This window comes from Homo sapiens, chromosome 11 (genome assembly GCF_000001405.40).
Source record: "Homo sapiens chromosome 11, GRCh38.p14 Primary Assembly".
Lineage (NCBI taxonomy): Eukaryota > Metazoa > Chordata > Mammalia > Primates > Hominidae > Homo > Homo sapiens.
In genome coordinates, this window is record NC_000011.10 from 68849103 (window position 1) to 68861016 (window position 11914).

General features: G+C 50.0%; 1 long non-coding RNA gene across 1 annotated transcript, besides 1 other annotated feature; it reads left to right on the forward strand.

Moving 5' to 3' along the window:
- Positions 4264-11146, forward strand: LOC124902700 (uncharacterized). The gene is made up of 3 exons (XR_007062752.1): positions 4264-4297; positions 10100-10166; positions 11041-11146. It is a non-coding gene; the product is annotated as an uncharacterized LOC124902700 (long non-coding RNA).
- Positions 6488-6547: a silencer, noted in NCBI's record as "silent region_3685". NCBI's record gives its function as "represses an Ori minimal core promoter by ATAC-STARR-seq in GM12878 lymphoblastoid cells {active_cell/tissue: GM12878}" and the evidence as "EXISTENCE:reporter gene assay evidence [ECO:0000049][PMID:35858748]".
- Positions 11147-11914: the final 768 nt, after the last annotated feature.

Genomic DNA, 11914 nt, shown 5'->3' on the forward strand with positions numbered 1-11914 from the left:
CTCCACCTCCTGGGTTCAAGCATTTTTCCTGCCTCAGCCTCCTGAGTAGCTGGGACTACAGGTGCCCGCCTGCTCAGTGGCTCTGTCTCCAGCCTGGCTCTCCTTTGAGCTCCCACCCTGCCACTCTGGCATCACCTTTCTGATCCCCTTAAATCCTCACTAGAGCCCACCCTTACCCCCCATCCCTACTGCCACCCCCAGAGAAATGACTTCATTCACTTGTTCCCTGGGGCCAAGTTACCCACCGGGAGAAGTCAAGTCTCGGTTGCCAGCAAAGCAGGACCACAAAGAAAAGAAAAATTAGGGTGTGTGGGTGTGTGTGTGTATGTGTTTTCTATGTCAAAGCAGCAAATAGGGCACGGTGGCTGAAGCCTATAATCCCAGCACTTTGGGAGGTTGATGTGGGTGGATCACTTGAGGTCAGGAGTTCAAGGCCAGCCTGGCCAACATGATGAAACCCCATCTCTACCAAAATTACAAAAAAAAAAAAAAAATAGCTGGGTGTGGTGGCACACACCTGTAGTCCTAGCTACCTGGGAGGCTGAGGCAGGAGAATCGCTTGAACCTGGGAGGCAGAGGTTGCAGTGAGCCGAGATCATGCCACTGCACTCCAGCCTGGGCAAGAGTGAGAATCTGTCTCAAAAAAAAAAAAAAAAAAAAGAAAAAAGAAAAAAAGAAAGAAAAAAGAAAAGAGAAAAAAGAAAAAAAAAGAAAGCAGCAAATACCTATCAGAACCTCGGTGGACCTCTTTTTTTTTTGAGGCGGAGTCTCGCTCTGTCACCCAGGCTGGAGTGCAGTGGCGCAATCTCGGCTCACTGCAAGCTCCGCCTCCCGGGTTCACGCCATTCTCCTGCCTCAGCCTCCCGAGTAGCTGGGACTACAGGCTCCCGCCGTCATGCCCAGCTAATTTTTTTTGTATTTTTAGTAGAGACGGAGTTTCACCGTGTTAGCCAGGATGGTCTCGATCTCCTGACCTCGTGATCTGCCCGCCTCGGCCTCCCAAAGTGCTGGGATTACAGGCGTGAGCCACCGCACCTGGCCAATGGACTTTCTTATGCTTATTTAACAGTTTAGCACACATCTTTATGAGACAAAGCAGCAAATGTAAGAAACCGCGTTTACTCATTTCTGTTTGCAGCGTCATTTCACAAAGACCCTGATTCTGACTTGCAGCTCTCCAGAAGGATGCTTTGAAGACAAAACAGGACAGAGTCCATGGCCCCCATGCCTCTTGCCTGAGTTACTATATTTCTTAAACGATAAGTGACCCTACTTCTTGCCTTTTCCTGCACATAAGATGACGTCAGCTGGGCGCAGTGGCTCAGGCCTGTAATCCCAGCAATTTGGGAGGCCGAGGCCAGCCGATCATCTGAGGTCGGAAGTTGGAGACCAGCCTGGCCAACATGGAGAAACCCTATCTCTACTAAAAATACAAAGTTAGCCGGGCGTGGTGGCGAACGCCTGTAATCCCTGCTACTCGGGAGGCTGAGGCAGGAGAATTGCTTGAACCCGGGAGGCGGAGGTTGCAGTGAGTCGAGATCACGCCATTGCACTCCAGCCTGGGCAATAAGACCGAAACTCTGTCTCAAAAGAAATAAAAATAAATAACATTTAACAAGGTTAGTGATTATGCCTCTGTAATCTATAACCAAATATAGCCAAACCCAACTTCTGATGTGATTCTGCGTCAATGTAACTTCTGAGAAAGCTTGATGTGATTTTGCACACAGGGAACCTCCACCACAGGTATATAAGGTGTGACCTGAAACACCGTGGCGGAGCAATATGATGGAACTGCTTCTGGGCTAGAGGCCTCAGTCAATAGTCCTCAGCAAGATCTCTGAATAAACTAAAGCTTCAAAAGCTTGATTTTTTTTTTCTTTAGTCGACACCTTTCAAATTACATATGAAGAGGTTGCCATAATCCTTTTAGCAGTTAGGACCTGGAACGATTTTTTGTTGTTTGTTTTTTGAGACAGGGTCTCCCTTTGTCACCCAGGCTGGAGTGCAGTGGTGCAGTGGCACAATCTCAGTTCCCTGCAGCCTCGACTTCCTGGGCTCAAGTGATCCTCCTGCCTCAGCCTCCCCAGTAGCTGGGACTATAGGTGAATGCCACACCTGGCTAAGTTTTATATTTTTAGTAGAGACAGGATTTCACCATGTTGCCCAGTCTGTAGGTCCTGGAAAGAGGAAAGATCTAAATCTGGCCCTGGTCTTACCCATATTCACTCATTGGATCATGCATTCATGCATTCTGCAAATATGTATTGAGCCCCCATACTTGTGCCAGCACTATTCTAGACACTGGGACTCTCAGGGAGTGAACAGAGCATTTTAACCAAGCTACAAATTCTAGTGAGAGAGGTGGTCAAGAAACAGATTCATGTGAAAAGTGCAAAGGAGGCCAGATGCGGTGGCTTAAGCCTGTAATCCCAATACTTTGGGAGACAGAGGTGGGTGGACCACGAGGTCAGGAGTTCGAGACCAGCCTGGCCAACATGGCGAAACCCCTGTCTCTACTAAAAATACAAAAATTAGCCAGGCATGATGGCAGGTGCCTGTAATCCCAACTACTCGGGACCCTGAAGCAGGAGAATCGCTTGAACCTGGGAGGCGGAGGGTGCAGTGAGCTGAGATCGTGCCATTGCACTCCAGCCTGGGCGACAAGAGCAAGACTCCATCTAAAAATAAAAATAAAAATAAAAAATAAAAAAATAAAAAGCAAAGGAGAAAAACAAACCAGGGAGTCGGGCAGAGTGTGGCTCTGGCATGGGGTGGGTGGGGACTAGCTTACAGATTTGATAGACCATAAGCCCCCTAGGGCTGGAAACCCTGGAAACCAGAACCAGATACATAACTTGGGTTTCAGAAATGTTAGCTGAATGACTGAGTGATGGTTGGGATGGACGGGTGGAGGGTTGGGGCTCTGCAGGCTTAGCTGCCTGGTGCCCCTCCATCTGGCCCTTCCCTTCCAGGCCCTCACCCCATTTCCATGTCTCCCACAGGAACCTCTAAACTGTCCCCATGTGTGCCCTTCTTCGCGGTCACCTTCTGTGCCCCAACATCTTTGAGGCAATCTGTGGCCTCCAGGCAGAACAGGCTTCAAAATTTGTCAAGCAAAGTGAAATGAAGGCTGAGACCTTTGATCAAAAACTATGAAGAATTTCAAGCTGAGGTGGGAAGATCGCTTGAAACCAGGAGTTTGAGACCAGCCTGGGCAACAAAGCCAGACCTTGTCTCTACCAAAAATAAAAAATTACCTGGTGGTGTGCCTGTAGTCCCAGCTACTTGAGAGGCTGAGGTAAGAGAATGGCTTCAGCTTGAGCCCAGGAGTTCGAGGCTGCAGTGAGCTATGATCGCACCACTGCACTCCAGCCTGGGTGACAGAGCTCTCGAGACTCAGTCTCCAAAATAAATAAATACATAAAATTGAAAAAAATTTTAAAAAACAAGAAAGGAATTTCAAGCCAGTGACTGCAGAGCATGAAACTAACCACGAAGCCCTGTTAAGTTCTCCCCTTGTGTGACTGTGCGAGTTGCATTTCCCGGAAGCTGGCCCTTCCTCTCAGGCAGGCCGGAAAGACCTCCTAGAGATCTGTGCCCAAACGACCTTTCCAACCTGGGCTCACAAACCTCACTGGGCTCTGTGCTCTCTCCACTGAAAACCTCACCCCACCTCCTGCCTCTGAGCATCTGTTCTCGCTGTTCCCTCTGCCCAGCGTGCCTTTCCACTCACTTCTTCTTGTTTTTGTGCACAGCCATGGATCAGGTGCCAGGAGAGGAGACGGAGGCAAAGCAGGGCCAGTCAGCTCTCCAGAGAAGACACTCTCAGAGGGCAGCTGCAGCCTTGCTCCACTGCAAGGCTCAAGCAGAAGCTTCCTCTGCTGCAAAATGGAGCAGCCATAAGAACCACGATGCAGGATCTGAGGTGCAACTCTGCTAAGCTCTCTGTCTTTTTTTTTTTTTTTTAGATGAAGTCTTGATCTCTTGCTCTGTCGCACAGACTGGAGTGCAGTGTTGAGATCTCGGCTCACTGCAACTCCGCCTCCCGGGTTCAAGCGATTCTCCTGCCTCAGCCTCCCAAGTAGCTGGATTACAGGTGGGCGCCACCACGTCCTGCTAATTTTTGTTGTTGTTTTGTTTTTTTTGTTTTGTTTTGTTTTGTTTTTTGAGATGGAGTTTTTGCTCTTGTTGCCCAGGCTGGAGTGCAATGGTGCGATCTTGGCTCACGGCCACCTCTGCCTCCCGGGTTCAAGTGATTCTTCTGCCTCAGCCTCCCGAGTAACTGGGATAACAGGTATGTATCACCATGCCTGGCTAATTTTGTATTTTTAGTAGAGAAGGGGTTTCTCCATGTTGGTCAGGCTGGTCTCGAACTCCCAACCTCAGGTGATCCACCCACCTTGGCCTCCTAAAGTGCTGGGATTACAGGTGTGAGCCACTGTGTCTGGCCATTTGTGTATTTTTAGTGGAGATGAGGTTTTGCCATTTTAGCTAAGCTGGTCTCGAACTCCTGACCTCAGGTGATCCACCCGCCTCGGCCTCCCAAAGTGCTGGGATTGCAGGTGTGAGCCACTGCGCCTGGCCCTGCTAAGCTCTCTTTTTTTTAATCTACTGAGATTTGACTCACATACCATAAAGTTCACTGTTTTCAAGTGTACAATTCAATCGATTTTGGTATATACACAGGGTTGTGCAACCACCACCACAATCTAATTTCCTAAACATTTTCCCCTAAACAAAACACTCAACCCATTAGCAGCCTTTCTCCCCATGTTCCCCACCCGGGGCAGCCACCAGTCCACTTTTTGTCAAATTCACATATGGATTTGCCTATTTTGCACATTTCATAGGAATGGGATCCTACAACATGTGGTCGTTGGTGACTGCCTTTTTTCACTGAGTATCATGTCTTCAGGGTTCACCAATGTTGTAGCCTGGGTCGGTGTTTCACTCCTTTGTATAGCTGAATAGTACTCTGTTTGTCCGGACAGACCACATTGGATGCGTCCATTCATGATAGGACAGATGCGCACAGTACAGCACTTTCAGTCTGCCTGGGAGGTGGGTGTGGGTGCCCGGACCTCCCACGCTGACCTTGATCCTGAAATATAACCCAATGGCTGTCTCCTTTCCCTTCTGGAAGATTCCCACTCAGCCTTCAAGGTCCACTCGGAGGTCACTTGCGTCCCCCCATTACCCCAAATAGACATAATGCCTTCCTCCGCTGTGCTTGCAGTGAGGCTTCTTCCTTGTCTAAGACCCACCCGTCTCTCCCCCCTCGCCGCTCCAGTCCGAAACTGCGATTGTCCTGTTTCTGGGGTCCTGGGCGTCTCCAACCCCCCAAAACGTTTGTGCATTGGAAAAATGGGGAATTGGCTGGGCGCTCATTGGCTGCCGGAGAAGCTAATTGTTTCCTTGAAGTCACAGGTTTCGGACGGAGGAAAGAAGAGTTGGGGTATTCTGGCGGTAGGGACCGGTGGGGAGGAGGAAGTGACCCTCCTCTAAGGCCCAGGGTCGGGGGAGGTGGGGAGGGAGCGGCCGACCGGCCGAATAGCGCTGCTTTCTTTGTTTTTCATGCAACATAATTCCATGGCCAGTCCAGGCGCTGCAGCCCCCTCCCCTGCCGGCCCCGGCGCCCGCGCAGGACCGCAGAGGGGCTGGGGGTCCAGGGCGCAGTCTAGTTCCAGGGCGCCCGCGCAGCCGCGGGTCCTTCCCTCTGGGAAGGAGCTGGCGGAGGCTAGGGAGGGGGCGTGCGGGTGTCCCCCGCCTTCCTCAGCTCCTCTAAGCGCCCATGGAGAGCCCCAGTTCCGTCCCAGGCTCTCCCTCGGCTCCTCTTTTTATTTATTTATTTATTTGTTTGTTTGTTTATTTATTTATGATGGAGTCTCGCTCTGTCGCCCAGGCTGGAGCACAATGGCATGATCTCGGCTCACTGCAACCTCTGCCTCCCCGGTTCAAGCGAATCTCCTGCCTCAGCCTCCTGAGTAGCTGGGATTACAGACGCTCGCCACTACACCCGGCTAATGTTTGTATTTTTAGTAGAGACGGGGTTTCACCATATTGGCCAGGCTGGTCTCGAACTCCTGACCTCGTGATCCGCCCGCCTCGGCTTCCCAAAGTGCTGGGATCCTCGGCTCCTCTTTTGCAGACGAGGAGGCGCAGGGGCGAGTGGGGAGGGCGTCCTCGGTGAGCGCGCGAATACCCTCCTGAGTCAGCTGGGTCGGCGGCGGCTGGCAGGAGAGGCCCCCCACGGCCGGGGCGATAGCTGAAGGTGGAGGTTGACCCAGGCTGCGCCCGGGTGGAAGAAGTTAGACTGCAGGAGGGACCAGCGGGCATTGGCGTGAACCCCTCAGTCGCCCCTCCAGAGTGTGAAATTGCCTCTTTGCCCGACGCCGGGCTGGGACTGGGGGTGGGGAGAGACGGAGCAGGGATGGCCGCCCGCTGCCCGGTGCGCTTCCCGGAGCTGCGCAGAGCCCCGAGACCCGGAGGGAGGACCGAGCGCGCTGCGCGAGCACCCCCGGTCGCCTGCCGGCGCTCAGCACCGAGCACTTTTTCCTGCTCCGGGTGTTCTCGGTCCACCCTGCAGCCCAGCCCCGGCGGACCCGCCCCCGGCCCGGCCCAGCGTCCCCAGGGGCTCCCGGCCCACCCCGTCCGTTCTGGAGCGAGAGTTCACTCCCCGGGCTGACTGCTCCAAGCCCCCTTTATTAGAAGCATTCCTTGTGGAAAAACAGGAAACACTGACCTGTAAAACAAAACGCTTATTAAAATCGCCTGGAATCTTGTTGCCTGATTAGCATGCCGCTCTGCTTCCTGTTTTTGGTCTGTGCTACTTTCCATATAGTTTTCTCAACTCTTTTTGTGCGCGCTAACAAAATGGAAGTCACTTGGTATATAAGCGTTTCTGCTCGTTATTTTTTAACATTTATATTTATAAACGTTGTTTTCCTCGAGTAATAAATACAATCTCTTGAGAAGACACCGAAACTGAACAGCGAAGCCCCGTGGCCCCTCTCCCTCCCACACCCTTCCACTCCCCCTCTGGAAGTAAGCACAGTTGTGAGTCGGCTGTGTATTCTCCCAGTCTTTTTCGCATTTTATGTACCGTATATATATCTAGAAATACATAGTTTTATTTAGGAGTCGCTTTAATGTAAAGCAGATGGGGTTGTAGATACAGTTCTAGAACGGGCTTTCCCCCACTTAACAGTGAGTTTGGAAATTGCTTGGCCTAGACCTGCTTGTTTCTTTTTTTTTTTTTTTTTCTTGAGACGGAGTCTCTTGTTGCCCAGGCTAGAGTGCAGTGGCACGATCTCAGCTCACTGAAACCTCCGCCTCCCAGGTTCAAACGATTCTCCTGCCTCAGCCTCCCAAGTAGCTGGGAGTACAGGCATGCGCCACCACACCCGGCTAATTTCGTATTTTTAGTAGAGATGGGGTTTCGCCATGTTAGTCAGGCTGGTCTTGAACTCCCGACCTCACGTAATCCGCCCACCTTGGCCTCCCAAAGTGCTGGGATTACAGGCGTAAGCCACCGCGCCTGGAAGGGACCTGCTTCCTTCCTGACTGCATAATAGATGTACCACTCACAGCTGGAATGCGCCTTCGTTTATTTCAAGCATTCTCTGTTGTTTTTAGTTTGATTCCAGCTTTTCTCTATCCAACCCTTCAGCCCCTGTGTGCACCTGCTAAACTCCAGGCCTCTCCTAGGTGCAGGGAGTGTGTGCAGTCGGGAACAAACAGACACATTCCACCATCGCGGGGCTTGGGCCTGCAAGGGCAATGAACCAATACACCGGAGGTGGGTGAGGAGGGGATATTTTATTTTCTGAGAAGAGGATATATTGGGATCATTACTATGGTTCAAATACCAGATCAAAATTAAAAAGTATCTAGAGGCCACGTGCGGTGGCTCACGTCTGTAATCCCAGCACTTTGGGACACCAAGGTGGACAGATCACTTGAGCAGCAGTTGGATACCAGCCTGGGCAACATGGCAAAACCCCATCTCCACAAAAAATTACAAAAGTTAGCTGGGCGTAGTGGTGCTCGCCTGTAGTCCTGTAGTCCTAACTACTCAGGAGGATGAGGTGTGAGGATAGCTTGAACTCAGGCAGCAGAGGTTGCAGTAAGGCGAGGTGGCGCTATTATACTCCAGCCTGGGTGGCAGAGCAAGTCTGTCTCAAAAAGAAAAAAGAAAGAAAAAAGTATCTAGAGAAAAGTCTTACTCCCATCCCTGGCCTGTATGACACATGGTCTCTCGTGTATCCATCAGAATTTACTTATGAAAATATAAGCAAAAACGAGTGCCTGTATGTGTTTGCTTCTTTTCTTATGGTAAAGGGAGCACGCTATCACCCGTGCTCTGTGCTTGCATTTTAGAATCTACTTCTGTGTCTGGGTGCTCATTTCCATTAAGGTTCATTAACTTTATTTATATATGCTGCCTAAAGGGACAAAGTGCTCCATCATAAGGATTTATCTTACCACAATCATTTGTTCCCTGTGACACAAGAGTCTTCCCAGTCTTTTGCTCCTATAAACATTGTTGCAATGAATAACTGTACAAAGGTCATGTTTTCACCTGTAGGCCTCATCCCTTGGGTGGATTCCCAGAATTGTGATTGCTGAGTCAAGGCCATGTGTACAGACAGTGTTGACGTCCTTCACCGAGTTGCCCTCTGTATTAGTGAAGACCTCAAGAGAAACAAATCCTATGGGATATATGTGTACATATGCACACACACACACACACACACACACACACACACACACACACACGAGATGGGAAGGTGGGGAGAGAGAGACTGAGATTTATGGTAAGGAATTGAGAAATGACTCCCTAAATTATGCAGGCTGACAGTCCCAAGATCTGCAGTTGGCTGCTAGAAACCCAGGAGAGCAGATGCAGGGAAAGAGCCATGTCCCCCTTCCAAAGCAGTCAGGCAGCAGGAATTCCCTCTTGCTTGGGGGAAGATCAGCCTTTGGTTCCACTTAGACCGTCAACTGACTGGATGGAGCCCATCCGAGGTAGCAGGGCCCTCTGCTCTCCTCAGTCTGTGGATTTCAATGTTCATCTCATTCAGAAACAGCCTCACAGGCACACCCAGGATCATGTTTGACCAAATATCTCGGCACCCTGTCGCCCCATCAGGCTGACACATCAGAGTAACCATCACATCTCCTCGTGGGGATTGTCCTGTTCCGTAGTCCCCTTGCCCAGGTGTGAGGGTTTGCACAGGCCTGACCAGAGTGCCTGCCGAAATGTGGACATTCCTCTGTCTGAGAAGTGAAAAGTGGTATCTTGGGGGCAGTTTGCACGCGCATTATTTTCATTGTAAGTAAACCTGAGGCCGGGCGCGGTGGCTCTCACCTGTAATCCCAGCACTTTGGGTGGGTGAGGCGGGAGGTCCTCTTGAGCCCAGGAGTTTGAGACCAGCCTGGGCAACATAGCAAGACCCCATCTCTACGAAAATTAGCTGGGTGTGGTGGTGTGCACTTGTAGTCTCAGCTACCTGGGAGGCTGAGGTAGGAGAATCACCTGAGCCCTGGAGGTTGAAGCTGCAGTGAGCCGTGATCGTGCCACTGCACTCCAGCCTGGGCAACAGAGCAAGAACTTGTCTCAAAAAAAATAAATAAATAAATAAGGTGAGCATCTTCTTTTTTTTTTTTTTTAGACGGAGTCTTGCTCTGTTGCCAGGCTGGATTGCAGTGGCTCAATCACTGAGCATCTTTTTACAAATGTGGGGGCCATTTGTATTTCTTTTTCAGTATACTGCTCATATGCTTTGCCCAGTTTTCTATTAGGCTGTTGCTCTTTTTATAGATTGAGCTAAAAAAAATTTATTACCAGTGTGTCCTAAAAACAACAGTATTGAGATACAGTTCACCCTCTAAAGTATATTTCAATTGTTTTTAGTATATTCAAATAATTGTGCAACATGATCACAATCAATTTTAGAAAATTTTCCTTACCCCAAAAGAAACCCTGTACCATTAGCAAAATCACTTCTCATTTCCCCCAACTCTCCCAGCCCCGGGCAACCACTAATATACTTTCAGTCTCTAACGATTTGTCTATTCTGGACATTTCATACAGATGGAATCATACAGTATGGGATCTTTTGTGTCTGGTTTCTCTGCGTAATGCTTCCGTCCAGGTTGTGGTATGTATCGGAACTTCATTCCTTTTCATGGCTGAATAATATTCCACTGTGTGGACGGACCACATTTCAGGTCTCCTTTCAGCTATGGATGGATGTTTGGGTTGTTTCCACTCTGGTTATTATGAGTAATGATGCTGTACACGTCTGTGCACACGTTTTTTTGTGGGACATGTGTTTCCAATTCTCTTGGAATGGAATTGCTGGAACCTGTTTCAGGAATTGCCAGAGTGTTTTCCAAAGTGGCTGTACTATTTTACATTCCCGCCAGCAAAAGCAGGGCCACTATGAGGGCCCCACTTCCTCCACGTCCTCACCAACACTTATTACCTGGAACTTTGATTATAGCCACCCTCGTGGGTGTGAAGGGGGTTTCATTATGCTTTCAAGTTGCATTTCCCCAATAACTAACCAGTTTGTCTTTTTATTTGCTTTTTCTAAAATTATTTAATTTATTTTTTGAGATGGAGTCTCACTCTTGTCACCTAGGCTGGAGTGCAGCGGTATTATCTCAGCTCACTGTAACCTCCACTTCCCAGGTTCAAGCGATTCTCCTGCCTCAGCCTCCTGAGTGGCTGGAACTACAAGCATGCACCACCACGCCTGTCTAATTTTTGTTATTTTTAGTAGAGACGGGTTTCACCATGTTGGCCAGACTGGTCTCAAACTCCTGACCTCAAGTGATCCATCCACCTCAGCCTCCCAAAATGCTGAGATTACAGGTGTGAGCCACCACGCTCAGCCCATTTGCTTTTTTTAATGTAGACTTTTTCTGTAGTCAAACACTTTATTCTTTTATGGTGTCTGAGTTTTGAGTCATAGATAAAATTGTCCCTGCTCTAAGATTCAAAACAAACTTCCCCATATTCTCTTCTAGGACTGTTATGCTTTCAGGCTTTCCATTGAAAACTTGGATCCGGCCAGGTGCAGTGGCTCACGCCTGTAATCCCAACACTTTGGGAGGCCGAGGTGGGTGGATCAACTGAGGTCGGGAGTTCAAGACCAGCCTGACCAACATGGAGAAACCCCATCTCTTAAAAATACAAAACTAGGCCGGGCGCGGTGGCTCACGCCTGTAATCCCAGCACTTTGGGAGGCCGAGATGGGCATATCACGAGGTCAGGAGATCGAGACCATCCTGGCTAACACAGTGAAACCCCGTCTCTACTAAAAATACAGAAAATTAGCCGGGCGTGGTGGTGGGCACCTGTAGTCCCAGCTACTCGGGAGGCTGAGGCAGGAGAATGACGTGAACCCGGGAGGCGGAGCTTGCAGTGAGCCGAGATTGCGCCATTGCACTCCAGCATGGGGGACAGAGCGAGACAAAAAAAAAAAAAAAAAAAAAACCCAAAATTAGCCAGGCATGGTAGAACATGCCTGTAATCCCAGCTACGCAGGAGGCTGAGGCAGGAGAATTGCTTGAACCAGGTAGGCGGAGGTTGCCATGAGCCAAGATCATGCCATTGCACTCCCGCCTGGGCAAACAAGAGTGAAACTCTGTCTCAAAAAAAAAAAAAAAAGTCCCTCTCCCGTCTCCCGTCTCCCGTCTCCCGTCTCCCGTCTCCCGTCTCCCATCTCCCTCTCCCCACGGTCTCCCTCTGCCTCTCTTTCCACGGTCTCCCTCTGATGCTGAGCTGAAGCTGGACTGTACTGCTGCCATCTCTGCTCACTGCAACCTCCCTGCCTGATTCTCCTGCCTCAGCCTGCCGAGTGCCTGCGATTGCAGGCACGCGCTGCACGCCTGACTGGTT